General features: G+C 40.1%; 1 protein-coding gene across 1 annotated transcript, besides 1 other annotated feature; it reads left to right on the forward strand.

Annotated features, from left to right (window-relative positions):
- Positions 1-1,690: 1,690 nt before the first annotated feature.
- On the forward strand, positions 1,691-14,821 carry ARRDC4 (arrestin domain containing 4). Its single transcript, NM_183376.3, has 8 exons — positions 1,691-2,156; positions 6,588-6,654; positions 6,883-7,030; positions 9,002-9,104; positions 10,111-10,367; positions 10,871-11,033; positions 11,577-11,731; positions 12,119-14,821. Exons 1-8 carry the CDS (start codon positions 1,850-1,852, stop codon positions 12,173-12,175), a joined length of 1,257 nt encoding a protein of 418 aa, NP_899232.2. The 5' UTR covers positions 1,691-1,849; the 3' UTR covers positions 12,176-14,821.
- Positions 11,400-12,599: an enhancer, noted in NCBI's record as "MED14-independent group 3 enhancer chr15:98513642-98514841 (GRCh37/hg19 assembly coordinates)". NCBI's record gives its function as "activates an origin of replication core promoter dependent on BRD2, BRD4, P300/CBP and CDK7 cofactors, and independent of MED14, by STARR-seq in HCT116 cells {active_cell/tissue: HCT116}" and the evidence as "EXISTENCE:reporter gene assay evidence [ECO:0000049][PMID:35650434]".
- Positions 14,822-20,630: the final 5,809 nt, after the last annotated feature.

The raw sequence follows: 20,630 nt of genomic DNA on the forward strand, positions 1-20,630 counted from the left end.
AGTCTGGTCTTTCCCAGTACAGAATGCAAAACCTGCCATTTTGTCCTTTCATTACCGTTAGGACCATTGTCCTTTTCTCCCTCTCCCAGCCACTTAATTTGGAGGGAACCATTGCCTGGAGACAGTGAAAGTTTAGTAGAGTAAGAGGCAGAACACTATTCATGTATTGCAGAGCCAATACTACTACACGGTTAGGATACATCATTCAATCACTCAACATTTATTGAGCACTTACTGTATGCTAAGATCTGTGTTAGGCCCTAGAGGTCAAAAAACGAATGAGAACAAGTTCTGTGTTTCAAATGAGTGGGATGGATAATACATAGATAAACACGTAAGGTCACGTTGTGTTATATAAAAAAAAAAGTAGGCAGAGTAAGATCATGTAGGGAGCTATTCTAGACGAAATGGTCAGAGAATAGCAACTATTTCTGAACTTTACACAGAGCCTAATTTGTGACTTTTCCACTTTCTCTGAGAGGTAATAAGGAAATTTTGAACTTATAAAACTTTACTAAATCTCCACATTAATAATCTAAACTCAACGAGGGTAGTAGAGCAACCTTTACTTTGAGGTTTTTTTTTTAGGAAAATTGCTAAATTTCATTGTGAGATTAATCAATACATAACAGCTCACAAACGTGGCATGTCGATAAGGGGACAACTTAAAAGTTAAGAAAATGATGACCAGCTAATGACAGCTATGCAAGATGGTAAAAAACAGAACAGAGAAAAAATGGAAGGTTGAAAAGGAAAATGTAGCAGGACAAGCCGGAGGAAACTTGGGCGTGAGGAACAAGTCATCAAGGCAATTGGAAATTTCTGTGGATATGACAATGATGTCAGGAAACTTTCGGGTGGGGCAGAAACTTGAGTGACAGATGTTGTTCAAAAACAATGTGATTCATGATCTTATTTACAGCAGGAAGAATCAGAGTTCCAGCTATTCCTAACAGCGACACTGCGGAGCTTAGGAGGAGAACTCCTTAGGGGATGTATCAGGTTTAAAACCACAACCCTCATTTTTCTTATCTATGGCTCTTACATGGGCTGGGAATTCTGAAACCTGGGAGAGGCGGTGATCAAAAACCTGGAGGTTAGAAGATTCCAAGTCATTCATTAAAGTCCCGATGCGGCCGGCCCCCAAGATCTCAAAAGGAAATATTGCCGAGTTCCGTTTCCCAGAGCATCTATTTCCCCTCGAGTATTGCAGATGTAATCATAAACACAAGCCAGTTACAGCCACAACTTCATGCTTTAGCGAGAACCCAGTGGCTCCTGCAAAGTCCTTACGCTGCTAGAAACCCCGCCCCCGTTCGTAACTATGGGAACGGCTGACACGCTGAGAGCCGGAGATAACCCTGTTCCGCCCCCTCCCTGACAGATACTGTTTCCCACTGTCTGTCCACATGGGCGCACCGCCTCACTATTGGCCAGGGCTCCAGGACTGTGCCTGGCCTCAGCCAGTAAACGGCCTGTGCACGTGCACGCCGGAGCCTCCCGATTGGCCAACACTCCCTGATCACGCACGGCCTTCCTGCGCCCACCCACGCGTGGGAGCGCCAATGAAATGACTCAGTGACCATCTACAACAAATCAGCAAGAAGCAGGGCTCGCAGCTGACCAATGGCCGCCCGCCGGGGGTGGGCTGTCCCGGCCCTTTTCCAGGCCCAACTGGGTTTGTTAAAGCGACAGGCCTCTCGGCGAGCCGGTGCCCCATCGGGTACCGCACGGCTGCCGCGGCGGCCTTACCCTGCCGCGAGCGCCTGTGACAGCGGCGCCGCTGTGCTCGCGACCCCGGCTCCGGGCCTCTGCCGACCTCAGGGGCAGGAAAGAGTCGCCCGGCGGGATGGGCGGGGAGGCTGGGTGCGCGGCGGCCGTGGGTGCCGAGGGCCGCGTGAAGAGCCTGGGTCTGGTGTTCGAGGACGAGCGCAAGGGCTGCTATTCCAGCGGCGAGACAGTGGCCGGGCACGTGCTGCTGGAGGCGTCCGAGCCGGTGGCCCTGCGCGCGCTGCGCCTGGAGGCCCAGGGGCGCGCCACCGCCGCCTGGGGCCCGAGCACCTGCCCCCGCGCCTCGGCCAGCACCGCGGCCCTGGCTGTCTTCTCGGAGGTGGAGTACCTGAACGTGCGCCTCAGCCTGCGGGAGCCCCCGGCCGGTAAGCGCAGGCGAGCGCCTGGGGTTCCCCCGCCAGGCTGCGGGGCCGGGGAGGGGCTGGGAGGCCGCGCACCCTCGGGATGCCCACCTGGCAGGTGAGATCAGGGCGGGCTTCCGGGGGTGGGGTCCGGCCTACCCTCGCGGGTAAGGAGAGACCGCAAGTCCTGGGTGCGCAGCTCTTCCTGGCGCCCCGCCCCTGGCCCGCCGGGCCTGACCGGGACCAGTGGCTCGGGATTTTCTAGGACCGCGACGGGAGGGGGCCATTGGGTGCGGTGGGAACCTGTGATTGGACAATGGGGGATCCAGAAATCTAGGTCCTGTTCCTTCTGGTCCAAGAAAGGGACGGTGGAACCGGCGGCTATGAGGTTCCATTCTGCGGTGCCCGTGTCCTATGGCCTCCACTCCTCCCTATCCTGCATACGTTCTTGGTTCATGATGAATTAGCAGAAATTTGGTTTGGGGAATAGGGAAGTAGTTTCTGAGGGGTAGGAGTTCAAAGGAAGTGTTTTCCAGACTTGATCATCATGCTTGGTTTCCCTCTTCTGGGGAGCAGGGCAACTTAGTAAGAGTTGTACCTCTACCTGATACTGCTGCTGTTTCCTCCGCATCCTCTTCCTCCCCATCCTCCTCCTCCCCTCCTACCCGCTTCTTCCCCTCTCCCCCACTTCTCTCCACTCAAAATGCCTTTAGAGACAAGAGCATCAGGGCGTGTCGGGATTTCCCTTCCTGCTCACTTTGGTGAAGTCCAGTTCACAGTGTAGACTTTTCCAGAAGTACCCATGTGGGGACACACTACATGAGCGTTTCATTAATATTAGATACCAAAATTGGATCCCTTTAGTCACGAAAATACTAAGAACCATGAGTCTTACTCATTTCATGGATGGAAACTAGTTTAAACTTTTACGTTTTTGCCATGAGCTTTTATCTATCAAATAAAACAATGGTATGCACCTCCTCTCCTTGAAGAGTAAACGCATTATATCTATGTGCTATGTCTTATACAAAATATAATAGAATATGTGGTTTTGCCCTATCCTACTGTGGACACAGTGAACTCCTCGAGGTAAGTGATCATCTGAGTCATCCCAAAATTGTAGTGAGGAAAACTATATTTGGAACCAAAACTGCCTTTTGGATCAATGGGAACAGTGTGTTAGTGATAGTTCTTACTCCTTCATGCACTTTCCTCAGTATGGCTTCCAGGATCAACCCAGGCCCCAGTGGAAGCAGACAATACAATTTGCAAGATGGCCGAATGGAGTCAAGGACCTTGGGAGTGAGACATACATTGATTTTTGTCCAGGACTTTGGACTGTATCTCTGGGCCTATAACTGCTGAGTCAATAGATGTAAAATTAAAAGCAGTTGAACCTGGGATTAGCAATAAAAAACTGCTTTGGTAAAATCTGGGCTAACATTTTTTTTAATTCACAAGTCAGATGTTTATTCGTCACACACACACATATATACACATGTGGAACAGAATGTAAAAACTAGACAATTTGAAAATCTTAAACTTGTTTTAGAATGTATCATAGCACATATTGGCACAATTACATTTTGCTTAAAATCATAGTCTCTTTTAGTTGGGGAAAAAAAATAAGTCACCCCTAATATCTATAGCTTGGAAGAACTTAGCATCTTTACACAGTCTAGATTCTGGGGGTAATTTAATTACAAAACCTGGCTGTGTTTCAATCACCTAAGGAGATTTTTAGAAATCCATATTATGTAGCACTGGGATCTGTTTTCACAAATGCTCTCCAGATAATTCTTTGACATCCTTAATCTAATTCAACTACTTGCTGTCATTGTGATTGATTTTCTTCATATTTTTATTGAGAAACTGTAGTAGAAAACAAGCCAGAATCAGAGAGTTGGTCTCAGTTCTTGGTCACCCACCAGCAGTGTGACCTTATGCAAGTCCCTCACCCTTCCTGAGCCCCAGTCTCTGCCTCTGTAATGGTCTTCTGCATCCCACGGCTCATCAAAACCTTTAATTATGAGCTTTGGCTGTAAGGCCATTAGTGATTGAAACATCTTCCTGTGACTTTGTAGTGCTCAGTATACAAGACAGAAATAATGAGCGGTTGGTGCAGAAGCAGAAATGGGCACATGGTTCAGCTTGTGAACCTTTTACATTAAAAACAAAACTTGAGAAAGAGGAAAAGAAAACAAAGATTGAATTCCAAATATTATAACCCATTTTTATCAGTTTTTCCATTTCTTTTTCCTGTTTATGTTTTGAGATAGTTGAAAGTCTCATTTTAAATGATATAGATCCGATGTCGATTTGTTGCTTAATGAAAGGGGAACTTCATGTCTCTCATTCTCTTCAGTATCCTGGGCAACTGTGTTCCCCACAAATGCCTGCCATGCTCTTCCTCATGCTATTCCCTTATCTAAATTTCCCTTCCTATCTGTCTCCATTCCAGCCCTCAGGTCCTGAAGATGTCGGGCCCACCCATGTTCCTATGTGGGTGCTCTAGGTTCTAGCACTCCATGGTCATTGCTTGTGTACAAGCATGTAATCTCCTTTCCTCCCCCGGTCTCTTTGAGGATTATCTGCGGTGCCTGAAATCTAAGCACTACACATTTTAAACTCAAATGAAATACACATTTCAAAACATTTGTAAATACTTCGTCATGTTCTGTAATCTAGTAATTTCAAATTAGAACTTTAGCCCAGCTCTTTTAGGAGCACTGGGATTGCCTTGAGCCTTTCACTCCACAGCTGTCAGGTCGAGATGCTTCCCTGGTCCCTGCTCTGCTGCTACCTTCCTGAGCACACGTCAGCCACTGGGACCCGCCCTGCCACTGAATTTAACATGATCTCATGCCCCTGTGACTTGTTCTTCACTTTGCCTCCAGTCACCCAACTGTGGAGTATTCAAATTGACTTAAGTGGCAGGTGTGTCACTTTTTTATCCCCCTTGATGTTAACACATTAAAAATTGGGGATAGATTCAGAAGACCTAATAGGTCAGTAATGTGTTCCTATTTTCTAAAAGTACGAAGTTGAAATGTCAGCTGACTTGGTTAAGGTCATAAAATAAAACTCTATTTTTTTATTTAAGGGATAAAAAATTCCCATTTCACTACTGATTTCTTTAAATTTTTTTTTTTAGTGAATGGATAAAGTAGAAATCTTCATTTTAGTGTCAGATGACCAGGCAAATCTCAGAGTTCTGTCTCTGTGTTCCGATTTCTTCATCTTATTTATCCTATCCACAATAAGGGAATTCAATATTAAATCTGAGCATGAAATGAAAGGACAGTGTATAAGTCTCTCAAGAGAGCCTCCTGACCAACCGTGAAAGCCATGAAGTCTACTTTGGATCTGAATTAAACAGATTGTCTTGGTGCCTTCATCAGAGGTTTCAGTGGTGCCTCTGGCCTTACAAAGTCCCTCCACACCCTGCATTTTGGCCTTCTCACAATCTAGTGATAAGCTTCTGCCTGAAATAAAATGGAGCTGGTAACCCAAAGCTGAGAAAAGGGCCCTGGCCATGCTTGGTAAAGCCCTTTCTGTATTCCAAGTTAGCCACCAAGAAACTCTGTGTTAGTCAGGAGAGCTCAAGGATACATACATGACTTGCTTAATAGCTTGTCTTGTGGGTTTGGCTGTTTTGTGTTATACCCAGTATTAATGATATTCATAAAGTTTTCACTCCCTTTTCCATTTCTGCTCAAAGAATACTCAGTGTGATGTTTCTGGTATACCCAAAATAAATCTGTCTTTTGCTAAATTAGTTTTTGGTCCAATTTAATATTGGTATTTCCCGTTAGTATAATAGAATGGGGGTAAGCAGTTGTGATTTTTACATACACACACACACACACACACATATACATATCCATATACACATATATATGTATGTTGGAGTTCTGAACCTTAGCACTTTAGTAATTGGTCTATTTGAGAATGGAATATATGTGTGTATGTATGTGTGAGTGTTATGGTACTTGGTAAAAACTGGCCAAGTGCAGTAGCTCACCCCTATAAGCTTAGTGCTTTGGGAGTCCAAGGTGGGAGAATCGTTTGAGGCCAGGAGTTCGAGACCAGCTTGGGCAATATAGCAAGACCCTCGTCTCTGGAAAGAATTATTAAAAATTAGTCAAGAACCATGGCACATGCATATAGTCCCAGCTCCTTGGGAGTCTGAGGCAGGAAGATTGCTTGAGCCCAGGAGTTCAAGGCCGTAGCACTCTGGCCTGGGCAATAGAGCGAGACCCTGTCTCTAAAACACATAGACACACGCACACACACCCCCCTTCAAACTTAATTCTCTACATTTGTTTAATGAACTTTTGGAGTATGCTGCATTTTGTAGCGAGAAAAACTTCCTTCAAAAAATTATTTACATTGTGAAAACTCTTGATCTAATACTAACTATCCTTCATTAAAATAAAATACAATCTCTTATAGGTGAAGGCATCATTTTATTACAGCCTGGAAAACATGAATTTCCATTTCGCTTTCAACTTCCATCTGAGTAAGTGAAACACTACAATTTTGTGGTTATCCTTCTCTGCAGTATGTCCATTCAAGTTTATCACTGCTAGGTCTCTTCTGATTCTCAAGTATGCATGTTTACACTGAATAGTCCCTAAATAGACTTACTCTTTTTTTATTTCCAACCTAAAACATTTTAAACCATGCTTTTTTTGGCTTTGTTTAACTGAAAAGTAAACTCATAATTAATGTCTTTGGTTGGTTTCAGACCTTTGGTCACCTCGTTTACTGGGAAATATGGAAGCATTCAGTACTGTGTGCGGGCAGTGTTGGAACGACCCAAGGTACCTGATCAGAGTGTAAAGCGGGAACTCCAGGTTGTTAGTCATGTCGATGTCAACACACCAGCATTATTAGTAAGTTCTTCCTTTTTCTCTTCCTCCTCCTTTTCCTCCTTCCCTCCCTTCCTCCTTCCTTTCAACAGTGGGATCTATATTTAGCCAGTTTACTGGTAGTCTGTCCTGTCACTTTCTGATGGCTTGGAAAACACAATCTTGTAACCCAAAGGCATTCACTATAAATATATGATTCTAGGTTGGACAAATTACAAATTGTGTGTGTTAATACTATTGATTATGTCCCTGCTGTTCAGGGCTTCTTTTGCCAAAAAGTTACACAGGCTTGAAATGCATTAATAAGGCTTAATAACAATAATGCACACACAGAGAGTAGTTACTTTTACCAGAGTGGCCACATTTACAGGACTGGGGTATTCTAAACTCCTCAATAATAGCAGGTTGAGGAACAGTAATTATGGAAGAGTATTAATCATGCTCAGCCTGTTATTGAAGCTCAGGCCATTATGCTATGTATCCTTCCATTTTGCATGTCATTTTCTAACATTAAGTAAGTGCATGCAGCTGCCGCCGAGATCCTTTCACTTATCATTTCCTTATGACAGATTTGGCCACATTAAAGCATTGAACTTCTAATAATCACCAGAAATACTGTAGACTGATAAGAAAGATCAGGCTATAAGTAACAACAGAATAGGCAAGATGGGAGCTAATGAGCTAGATTCTTTTATCTAAACCCATATTATCAAAATAATATAAAATTATACCTTGTACTTTCATGATAGCTACTAGGACCTAATGGTTCTTCATTTAAATATGAATGAATGATTTTTTTTACTTCATAGAAAATACTGAGATAATTTAAACTTTCCATCACGATACTGATGTGACAAAGATGTATTTTTCATGTTGGAGGTTTTTCTAGCCTGTGTTTTTAAAGACAAGGAAAAAGCTAGCAGTTAGAAGTTGTTGTTTAAGTCTTATTTTCGCATGAGAAAGAAATAGAATTTAATGTTCACCTTTAGATTATGAAAAGATAGCAGATATGCTGTGGTTCCATGGCCTCTTGTGGTCAGAATCATAAAACAGCCGGCACCCAGCTGGCCTGGCTTATAGCTGGGACTTTAACAGCCGCTTGAAAACCATTTTTGAAAAATTGGTGATGCCAAGTAGCTTGTATTTTTAAAAACTACTTAGAATTGGGAGGCTGAATATTTTTAAAGTTTTTATGACCATTGTGGGAATTGATTTAAAGGGATTTGTCTTTGCCAAAAACAGACACTGTTGATCCCTTACGATTCTTTATATAAATAAAAAAAAAATATTGCAAGTAACTGGGTTTTACAGAAAGCTTTGGTGTGTGTAACTCGTAAACTGAACATTGTAAATCTTGTAGTAACTTCTCTTGCCACTATAGAATAGAATACTGCAGTGAGAGGGTATGTTTAATAAGCTTTTCAGATCGGTTAACACTACACATGTTATTGCACTATTACACAAAACCCCAAAACCACTCCAAATTAAGAACACATGAAATTTCTGCTTGATAATGCATTTTGAAGTAAGTGGTGGGAAAAGGCTGTTTGTTTATTCCACTTTATTAAATGCCAAAATAAATATAATGTTCTGATTATTTTTTATTTTTATATCATTTATCCTTCCACCTGACTTTTATATATAAAGTCTTAAAAATAATTCTGTCATGTTTATAAGTCCTAATACAGCTTTTGATTTTTTTTTAAAAAAATGGTATATTATTTCCTGGAAACATAATGACTTCAGGGTAAAATAAGATGGTGTCATGCTAATTTTTGAATCTGAAAATTCACTGTAGTTTTCCTAAAAGGGGAGTCTTAACACCCTGTGTTTTTGTGCATATTTGGCCTAATATGTTACATGAGGATAAGAAAGTTTGATTCATTTTTTTGGTATTTCCTTACAACCATTCTGTGAAGATAGATATAATTTTAAGTTCTATGAGTTCTCTAGAGTGGCTTAATTAAGGTTGTTTTATTGTTTGAAATTTTCAAGACCCCTGTATTGAAAACTCAAGAGAAAATGGTTGGCTGTTGGTTTTTCACTTCTGGTCCAGTCTCGCTGAGTGCCAAAATTGAAAGAAAGGGATACTGTAATGGTAAGCAAAATGCTTGAAAGTCCAAATGAAAGATTTCATTCATTTTCTTAGCTAATTTTAAGTGATTTTAAATAGTGTTTTTTGTAATTATATGACGTGTATAGTATTTTAAAACATGAATAGTGATACATTTTTTATATAAATAATTGATATTTAAGTATTTTTAAAAGGAGGAATTGTTTCCAGTCAAACTCCTGTTTTTTTTCTGACTTCAATCCTGTTACTTTAGTAACAAAGAGTATAACTAGAGGAATGAGAAAATGCCAGCATCTGATTTTAATGTTGCAAAAGAATCTCCAGGGTTGTATTGCTAAAAAGAGAACTACTGGAGTATGAAATGCTATTAGACATTCTGATTCCATGCTGGCTTGATATATGCAAATGCATGGGACTGGAATGTAGTGTATTAACAAACTTAACAATCAGATTGTTACTGGAATTGCCATTAGTGAAGGGCCCATTTCCAGCAGTGGATTTGGCCCCTGCTCCAGGATTCTGACTTGTTAGAAAGGAATTCAGTATGGAATGGTATGATGTGCAGCCATAATGTTATAAAACTTGCCTAATCCATCCGTTGATTCTTTCTGTGCCTTAACATTATTAATTCCTTAAAAGCAAAGGCTTTGTTCTCCTGTTAGGCAGATTTTAATTTGATAAGCACTAATGAGTTTGTTAGTGATCTTTTATACTTAACATAGTCCTGAATCATTTATTTGTATGTCTTATCCTAATTTATATAGACACTGGTCATTTACATATCTTTAGAATTGCTAATGCAATATTGCTACTTTAGAAAAGTCAATAATGCAATAATTAGAAAATAAGATCTACCACAACCTGCAGTGAATTTTTATTTCTCTGGCTTGAATTTACAATATGTTTTCCATCAAAGCTTCTCAATTTGTTAAAGTGATGTTGGAACATTTCAGCTATACGGCCCTAATCCATTGTGGTGAGAACTTTTTCAAGAGTCTCTGAATCCTCCCTGGTTTTGTTTTCTTTTTAGGAGAAGCTATTCCAATCTATGCAGAAATAGAAAATTGTTCCTCTCGTCTGATTGTTCCAAAGGCTGCTATTTTCCAAACGCAGACATATTTGGCTAGTGGAAAAACAAAGACCATTCGACACATGGTCGCCAATGTGCGAGGAAACCACATCGCTTCTGGGAGCACAGACACATGGAATGGGAAAACGCTAAAAATCCCACCTGTTACTCCATCCATCCTGGATTGCTGCATTATCAGAGTGGACTATTCCTTAGCTGTAAGCAAAGCTCTTTTTTAAAAAAAAATGTGTATGATGGACAATAACTGATGTCATGTTACTGTGGGTATGTAGAGTTGCCTATAAAAATGTCATTTTATTTCAGCATTAACACCAATTGGGGACTGTATGAAGATTGGCCCTTGTTTTTAATAAAACCTATTCCCCACAGGGGATTTAATAGAATGCCATAAAAGAATTGAGGTGCATTAAGGGGTGTTTGTTATATTGAAGACATAGCCTTAATTTTCTATAATTATTATATAAGCCATGCAAACCTACAATGATGCATGTTAAGGACACAGTTCTCTGTCACAGAGCATTCACTATGTTTTGTGTACTCTTCATTTTGTTTAATCAAGACAATTGAGAATTGTGATGGGGGTGGTGGCAGCCGACAAAAGCATTTGTTTCTATGAAAAAAAGAAATTAATTGGGCTACCTACTGGAGGTGTAGCTTACATTTGTTCCTTTCTCTTTTTTTTTTTTTTTTGGCTTATTAGGTATACATTCACATTCCTGGTGCTAAAAAATTGATGCTCGAACTGCCATTAGTGATCGGTACAATTCCATATAATGGTTTTGGCAGCAGAAACTCCAGCATTGCCAGCCAGTTCAGTATGGATATGAGCTGGTTGACACTGACCCTGCCAGAGCAGCCTGAAGGTAAAATATGTTGGCGTTCTTTCATAACGAAGCTTTACCTAGAAAATACCTAGGAACAGAATATATACACTATTAAGTGCTCAGATGTTGATGAGTACTGCTACTATAGGTATCTTTATTCCTACTACTAAAAAATCAGAAAGCATTAGTCCTGGGAGGGACTTTGAAAGTTTAGCTTTATCTAGGACGCAAAGCTGCTGATAGCAGATTCAGGAATAAGATGTACATTTCCTAATTCCTATTTGTAATAGGAAAACAATGAAAAACAGTCAAATGTATGGTGTGTTATGTCTTTTCTATAGTCATATTTCAGTGATATTTGTTTACCTATATCTCAAGAGACTAGAATAGAAGCTATTAGTAGTAGTTTAATAAAAGGAGAATCTATTTTTTATTGTAATATGCATAAAACCTTGCTGATTAGAGGGAAAGAATGCCATATTTTTTATCTTCAAGTTTAGCTGTTTCTTGTTTTTGTAGCAGTTAAGAATCGAGATTAATTTTTGAGTGGATTTCTTAACTCCAACTTCATTTCTATTTCAGCACCACCAAATTATGCAGATGTGGTATCAGAGGAAGAATTCTCTAGACACATTCCTCCTTACCCTCAACCCCCTAACTGTGAGGGAGAAGTGTGCTGTCCTGTGTTTGCCTGTATACAAGAATTCCGGTTTCAACCCCCACCTCTTTATTCAGAGGTAAGCAAAGCAAAAGAAAATTAGACTTTTACTGTATTATTTTCAAATAATCATTTTTTGTCATCCGTTCATTAGAGTGTCTGTTGCTGACTCATAATTAGTAAGGGATACATTTAAATTTGTTTATACAGTGGTAATAGATTATCGCTGATTCATTTGCCAGATTTTTTTACTATTGTCCTTGTGATCTATGGCATCAGATACAGTATTGTGGATTGCCTTTAAGGTGTGTTATTTGGCCATGGAATATAGAGAACTTAAGCACCTTCTGGGACTTACACAGGCTCTGACCAGCTTGGCATATAACCATCATATAATTACAAATAGGTACTAGAATCGTTTTAAATAATGCTACAACACTAATCTCAGTCCGCTCTTTTTTTGCAGGTTGACCCACATCCTAGCGACGTAGAAGAGAGCCAGCCTGTTTCCTTCATTCTCTGAACGTATTTCAGAAATCACTGTGTTCATCATCAAATTAGAATGTTGGTTCTTTTCCTTCTGCCTTTTTGGGAAAGAGACAGGAAAGATTCACTTGAAAACATAAATGAACGTCAAGACTGAAGGCAATAGAAATTAAAGAATGTGAGAAAGTTCTGGTGGGCCGGCAGGATTGCCGCACAAGTTTATATGATGGTCGTATATATATCCCTGTTAAAAACTGGGATGAAGATGTGCAAAGTCACAGAATGTAATGGAAGTCCTGATGGTTACAGAGTAAGTGAAAGGGTGCCTGCGCTGACGTGAGAGAAAGGAATCTGTAAACAGTGGAAACACTGTGGGAGTTTCCCATGGTGAAGAGTGGAACGAAGGCGATATGAACTGAAGGGGTGAAGACTTGATTTTGGAGAGGGCAACAAAACAAGGGTGTGTGTGCATAGGAGAATGGCCCACTCCAAATACGAAGTGAGATCCTGAGTCTTTGGGTGCTTCATGATTTCCTACCATATTCAGGCCTAAAGACATTGAAAAAGCATCTTTTCTTGAGATCATGGTCATATGAGGTCCTAATGAAGTACTACAGTTTTCATTCTTTCAAGGGTAGACTAAAATATAGTTTATAAATCGGCAGTACGGTATTATGAAACCAAGAAAGGGTTTCTTGAAAAGCTTGTCGGTTCAAAGAGGAAAGATGAATTTCAATGTGAAAACACGTTTTGTTGAGGGCTGTACTTTTTACCCCCTTTAAGTGCTTTAACAGGATATACGTTTGATTTTCCTCATATCTTATTTACCTAGGAGCATGTAAGAGAAAGAAGGGAGAGAAAAGGTTGCATCTGCAGGATGCCTTGATAACTACACAGTCCCAAATAAAAGGCCTTTTTCTAACCTACCTCTAATGGGGTTATCAGATATGTTTTTAAATCTCTCGCCCTGAGTACTCTTCTTGGGAGTTGCTGCTGTTTACAGCCACAGTCTCATCTATCACTAAATATGAAACTGGGCCAAGGGGAAAATTCAGTAAGTTAGCGTTAAATGGAAGTAAATATATGTATACCTAAGAGAATGTCAAAATAAACACCAAACCAAAAGAAGGTAGGAGTGCCATTTTTAGAAAAGACACAACTTTAATTCCTGTCAAGAGACCTAGGTCTACTGATGGCAGTCACTGCATTGTACATTATTCCAGTTCTTCAGTAATTCTGTTTAAACTGTGATTTTCTTTATTGTGTTGGTGCAATATTTTATTATCATTTAACCTCAGGATATTCAGACCAACAGGATTGTGTTGCTGCTGAAAGTCTGAGCAGTGTTTTACCGTCCCCAGCCCCCCTCCCACATGGTCACATGTTCACTTGCTTTTCCTTCCATCTGTTGGTTTTGTGAGCTGAGAGCATCTCTGGACACATGGAAGGGAGCCAGGGATTCCTGTGATACAGATTTTGAACCAGCAGAGTACTTTGGTTTTCTTCATGTCCTAAGGGTTTGATCCAGAAACCCTGGTGCTTCCCCTGCAGAATACTGTACTTCATTTAACAGAATGATTGATTTTTCTTTCAATCAGCATGTTCACCAAAAATAGAAAAGTTCTTCTAAGGTTAAATTTTGTATTTAAAAGTTAGTTGGCCATTTGATCAGGGAATTTTCTACACACATTAGGCAAATGTATGCTTTTCATCCTCTGGGCTTACCTCTCTCCTCTGCAATCCTGGAAGCATCGTGCATAGTTCTTTCATTGTAAGCCGCTATTTAAATTCCCACAATGCAAAACTGTTAGACCAGTAATTGTGCTACTGAAATTGTCACAAAACGTTATTCCTTGATTTGGTTTTTAAATTTTGCTTTCGTGTGTGTGTCTTTAAACAGGTAATGTGTATTTAAGTGTTGTCTAAACAGTTGATTTTTACTTTAGAAAAGATCATCTTCAACTGTTTATTGACTTCTGAGTTATATAGTTCATGCCCTGCCAAGGCATTGTTCGACTCCATGATACTAAAACATAATGAAAGAAACAAACTCCAGTATGGAGAAGAGAAAGTTTAATTATTTGGTTCCATCTAGAAAAGCAACAACTTAAAGGAATCCTTCACTAGGATTGTCTTATCACCTTTATTAGATAAATCATGAAGTGTCCCTGTGAAATTGAAGTGAAACTATCTCTGTAGGACTTAAGAGAATAGCTAAAAGGTGTGACTTGCCTTATTGAAATGATACTGGCATATCTGACTGTAAGCAGTAGGTTGAAGATATCATTTTATGAATGTGGAGAATTCTACATTGAAACAGAAAATACCTGGGAATGAAGATTAAAAATGTAGCTGCTGTTATTTGCTTGGTTATTCCCCTCTTGCTCTTCTTTAGTTTGAAAAAACAAAAACGTGGCCTTGGAATTTTCATTTTGATGCAGAAATTTTGAAATTGAAAATGTGCATGTTTTGGTGCACAAAATCCTTCTGTGGGCAAAACTTTGTTTTTGTTTTGCACAGTAAGAAACAATAGGCAAGCGTTATGTTTTTGGTAAGTTAACTATGAAAGCTTTCTTATTTTTATTATTAAAAATGTAACAATTTAACCCACAGGAAAAAAAATTACTTTGTATGCTTGTTTGAACCCTATGGGTTCGTTTTATTAATAAAATTATTACACTAATGCTATGAGGTGCTAGTTTTTTTTTTCAAATATAAATTATTATAGACTTAAGGGAACTCAATGCCAAAAAAACAAATGTTGCTGCAGTTGAAATCCTTTTCTCTAGGTGTGTTATCATGAGGGAGGAACAGCCCTAGAACCTGACTTTGTTTTTACAGTGGGCTCCGGTTCCCAAGGTAGTCCAGTGTTAGCATTCCATGAAGAAAAGTAGCTGAGACAAGTGAGGAAACTAAAGCTATATTGGTTAAAAAAGCATATCATCATTTATTCCCAAATGATAAGGATTACTCTTTAAAGCCTCCTGAGTTTGAGTGTGTGATTGTCCAGAATCTCCCCAGGATCGATTTAGCAGGTCTCATGGGTAGTCAAGGGACTCTTCCTGGGACACACTGACCTAAGTATGCCACCCCTTTCTACGCAAACACTCCAGTAGATATGAGCACTATACTTTATACAAGGAGGATGTGATGGTATGTCATTTCAAGGAAACCGCCCAGACCCTCTGCCTGGAAAACTACCACCTGAACTAAGGAGTAAGAATTAGTCCAGTTGGTTTGCTCTTCAGTTATTTCTAGTAGATGGTGTTACATAATAAATAGGTTCTTTCTGTATCCACATTTATAATCAACGTAAGTTGAAATATCTGTCTTATGCGATACTGAGGAAAAATTTTTGATTACCATTACAATTTCTGTAGTTTATGTGTAGTATGAAATTTAGAACTAGGCAAGACACTGCAAAGAAACTAGGACAAAGCCCTCACATTACAAATCAGGATGCCAAAACAGAGAGTTGTAACCTGAGAGCGTGGTCCCTGCTTGCTCTGAAATTTCCTGATTCTATAATCTTCATACAAGTAATGGGAACAACTAATTGTTTTCAGTTACACAGCCTAAGAGTTGCAGACCTGGTTACCTGGATACTAAGCATAGGCTAAATCAAGAGTCTTCAGTGTTTACACTTAAGAGCGCTGCCTCCCGAAAGGACACCAGTCTTTGACTAAATTGCTTCCAAGTGTGTTTAGTTGCCAGAATCTTTTCTTCAACAGAGATTTATGTTTCTACATTTATATAATGAAATAATTACAGACTCTCAAGAAGTTACAATAATAGTACAAGGAAGTCTTGTGTACTCATCACCTGGTCTTCTGCAATAACTACAGTACATTAGCAAAACCAGGACATTGAGAATACAATTTAGCTAGAGCTTAGACCTTACTTGGATTTTGCCAGCCTTTGCATGCAGTCATTTTTCTTGTGTATGTTTTTGTGTATAGCTCCATGACATTTTACCTCCTGTAGAAAGGCGTATCGTCACCACCACCAAGACACAGAACTGCTCCATCACCGCAAAGAAACTCCCTTAGGTTGTCCCTTTATAGTCACCCCATCCTCCTCTCCATTTCCTTCCCTCACCCCAGCCTTCCCACCCGTTTTTCATCTCAGTAATTTTGTCATTTTGAGAATGCTAGAAAAATGGAATCATTCAGTATGTACCTTTTGAGACTGGCAGTTTTTTACTCAGCAGAACATCTCTTAAGATCCATGCAAATTGCGCCATGCATCAATAGTTTGTTTATTTGTATTTTAATGGAGACATTTTAAAAGAAACAGAATCGACTACTTCTGAAATTTTCATTATGCACCTTGCAAAGAAAATGTGTGACATCGATAAGCACATGATACCTTTGTAAATATTTTGATTTTGAGTTTGAGAACTTTTTATGTACAAAATATGTAAATGCAGATTGATACAAATTTTTAGGGCTAATGTTTAGCTTGTCAAATACTTGAAGTATTTTGCCTTTAAATAGAAAGAGATTGCATTATAAATGAGCCAGATAGACCTGTGATGAAATTAGACAACAAGGAGAAACTATATTGGGCTATTTATCATATCGGCTTCTGAGTCTGATGAATTTTAACATAAATTATCCAGGAAAGAGACTACAGTTGCCTGGTGTGTTTGAGTATTAAATTTTGTGATTTTTTTCTCTTCTTTTCTGTTTCTTCTTTAATTCCTTCGTTCATACTCCCACTTCTTAATATCTGATGAAATGGAAAGACCACTCGGAAGCTGAGAAAATTTTTAACTACAATATATGTGTTTATTCCTAATGAAACAATACTATAAAACATGGGCTTATTTTCTAAGACTATTAAATTTTTCTAGAAAGGAGAGCTCTTATTTTATAGAAGCCATTACACACTAATATTTCCCAAAAACCAGACATGAGTTTGTTGGTGATGAGCAGCAGCAGCAAAAGAAAGACACCGAGATGGGGTGGAGATGGATAGAAAGGGTTGACCAGTGTCAACTTCTAGAATGTCACTATAACTGAATTCGCCATGAACTGTCTCTTTGGTGGAGCTTTCTGTGTTCATTGATGGAGATTTCACCATCCCTGACAAATTTTCAGAGAACCAAGACGTCTTCCTGAACAGGAAGAGACACGCTTTAGGCAGCTTCTCCCACTGGAAACAAGGGAAGCATAGGTGCCTCCCTCGTGTTTGCAAACACCTGCCACATACGTGCACACACACGCATGTGCACACACACTGTTATTTCTTCCTCTCCTCCACACCCTTTACCTCCAGAGCTGTGTCTCTTTCAGGTAAGAATGTAAGCTCCGTTACAAAACGAACAAACAGATAATAGGTTCCTACTTCCACAGGAATTTATTGGAAGAGAAGTCTTTTGCCCCAAGCTTCTTACTAGTTTGCCCCCAAACAGTACGAGTCTAGTAGAAAGGTATCAGGGAATTGTAATTAAATGAGAAAATGGGGGGGAAATAGATGCCCTAAGTTTATGTTTTTTCTTTTTTAAAAAAAGTCACTGCATGGTATAATAGTCATTTCTCCATGCTGCCCCAGCCTCATAGGTCCTTATTTTAATGACTAAAGGACATAAAATGTTCCAGACCAAAATAATAATGATTACATTACTTACAGCTCACACATCTAGTATTGACTGTGTTCTTTACAAATATGCAGTCACTTTCCCATAACATGACGGTTTCCGTGGTATTTTTTTATTTTGCTTTTTAAATTTTAGATGACAGAATCCATCTGATTGTCCACACGGCAAGTGTTCTATATGTGATCGCTTATTCATATTTGCTACCACTGCAAATATTTGGACTTGCTGGAACTGGTTGATTGAGTTGATTCAGTAACATCTAAAGATTTATTGTCTACAGTTAACTAGCTTCTTTTTTTTTAATTATACTTTAAATTCTAGGGTACATGTGCACAACGTGCAGGTTTGTTACATATGTATATATGTGCCATGTTGGTGTGCTGCACCCAAAACACAGCACACAAATGCACACACACGGAAACACAAGGCATGCACGCATGTGCACGCTGACATGCACTCACAGATGCTCTGTTTATTGGCTGGAGATTTCACCCCTTGGGCAAGAAAACTCATCAAAAATGTCATTGTTTATACACCTGGGAATCAAGAGAGGGCACATTATCAACACTGAGTCATCTCACTACTAGAAGAACACGGAGCTCTAGCTTTATTTTTAGTAGTTGCTGTATTGGTGGGTGGTAAACAGATAAGGAATAAGGAAGAGTCCAACAAAACAATTCCCTATTTCATACATCTTCTAAATCACTGCAGCACAGGAAGCCAGATTCGATACCCTACTATTAAACTGGAATAGCAAGGTATAAGATGGATCTAGGCTCACATGTGAGCACATCTGAGAAACTGCACTGAGGGTTCACTGTTTCTGAGTTTTGCTACAGATCTGTTCTAATACTTCCGACAAAGCTCAGGTTATGGAAAAACAGTTTAGGAACCTAAACACTTTCCTAACTTCTTTCTCCTGCGTAAACTAAAACAAAGAAGTATATGTAAGTATGCATACACATGGGAGGAGTGTGATATTGAGCTTAGTCTCTAGTTTCCTTTATCTTCCTTAGTGAAGTGGCATCGTTCATCTGGGATAATACCTGAGGTTTGTTGCCTCACGCCAAGGAAATCAAGGACACAGATACACAAGGAGTGAGGTTAAGAGCAGAGATTTAATAGGTGAAAGAAAGAGAAACGGGCAGGTCTTCCGGTTCCGTGGTGAAATGCACGGGATTTTATACAGGAGCTTGAGGAGGCGGTGTCTGATTTACATAGGGTATGAGAGATTGGTCAGACCAGGTGTGTCATTTGCATAGTGCAAGAAGATGGCCGGCCCACCATAATCTTCTATTATGCAGCTGGATTCTCTACCTGGCCAGCACCATGTTACCTGCTTCTTTACTGTACATGTGGTTGACAAAGAAAAGGGATGATGGAGCCTCCATGTTGAACATGCCTGGCCCCCAGGTAGCCTTTTCCCATTGGCACAGCTGCCAGCATTCACCCATGCAAGCTCCTAGCTTGCTTTTCTATGTCAGCAGCTTGATTTTTCAGGCTGCTCTTTGTTAGAAAAGACATTATTTGGGGGCTGCTTTTTCTTAAAAACAAAACCTTGACAAAGACTCTCTTACCCTCACTAACTGCCTAAATAATTTCTTTCTAGCTTCTGTATCATTAGGAGAGGACAAAGCCAAAGATTCCTGGTAAACCTCTCTTAAGAGAACCTCTGTGTACAGAGGTGGATTTAAAAGCAAATTTCTGTATGTGTTATTTCATCCTTAATTCAACCATCTGGCCCTCTTATATAAAAGTGGAATACTGCTTATCAGGGGAAACTTTAGCAGCAAATACTTACTTTTATCTCATCTGACATAACAAAAAAGCTTGGTCATGATGTCAAAAGATAACTTATCTCAAACATGTATGGCTGCAAACACCAACAGCTGTTCCTCTGAGAGTGGCAGCATTACTTCAGATAAAGGCGGTGCTTTTAAGAAAATTAATCTCATTTTACGTAAAGCCGTTTTAAGACAACCAGAATTATCCTCCTAAGAACAAAACAAAAATAATTCCCTTTGCTAATGGGAAGATGTTTAAAACAGTATCTACGTTGAATAGGGAGACTTCTAATGGTCTCAGACTTGCTACTGAACACAACAGGGAAGTCTCCTGTGGAGAAATACATTGGTGGAAGCCAGGAAACCCACATGTTAACCTCCTTTCTCTAGCCTTGGCCAGCCAGGGACACTGGGTCTTTGAACTTTAGCAATGCCTGACTGGCTCCAAGATAAACAGTACCTTCACAGACTCCATGGCAGCTGCTGGAGAGAGCTGGAATGTGTCATCTTGCCCCAAGTCTGGTCTAAGCCTGGACACTTGAGCATTTGCCTTGCTCACCCATTGCCTCCCCTGGGCTGGATGACCCACACAGAAGACTGGGCCTGTACTGGGAAGAAGCCCTTTCCACATCAACCCACTTAGTGGAGACCCAAAGCTTCAATTCCAACACCAGGAACCCCAGGGGAAGGAAGGTATAAGAAATTTCTTACAGCAAGGAATAAATCAGAAATGGCTGCTATCAGCAGAAATGAGGGCTGTATACATTAGATAAGCTCACTAAGAGGAAATTGTCTTTTTTGTAGGTTTGTGTGCCCGTATGTGTGCGTGTGTGTTAAAGGAGGGAGGATTGGGGTTTTCTTTGCATCTGATTTTTGTGAAGGAGCTTTATGACTTAAGACCTAAACAATGCTGATGTTGGCACCTCTCTTCTTGCCCAGCCAGGGCCCTGATGCCCTCCACAGCTATTCCTTGGCCTTCCCCAGAGGACCAGCTTGTCCTGGTTTGCCCAGGGTTTCCCCAGGTTTAGCATTGAAAGCCCCCATCCCAGGACCCCTAAATTCCAGGTAAAGGGGTTTGGTTGACCACCTTCCCCTCGTTCTTTCTA

This window comes from Homo sapiens, chromosome 15 (assembly GCF_000001405.40).
Source record: "Homo sapiens chromosome 15, GRCh38.p14 Primary Assembly".
NCBI lineage: Eukaryota > Metazoa > Chordata > Mammalia > Primates > Hominidae > Homo > Homo sapiens.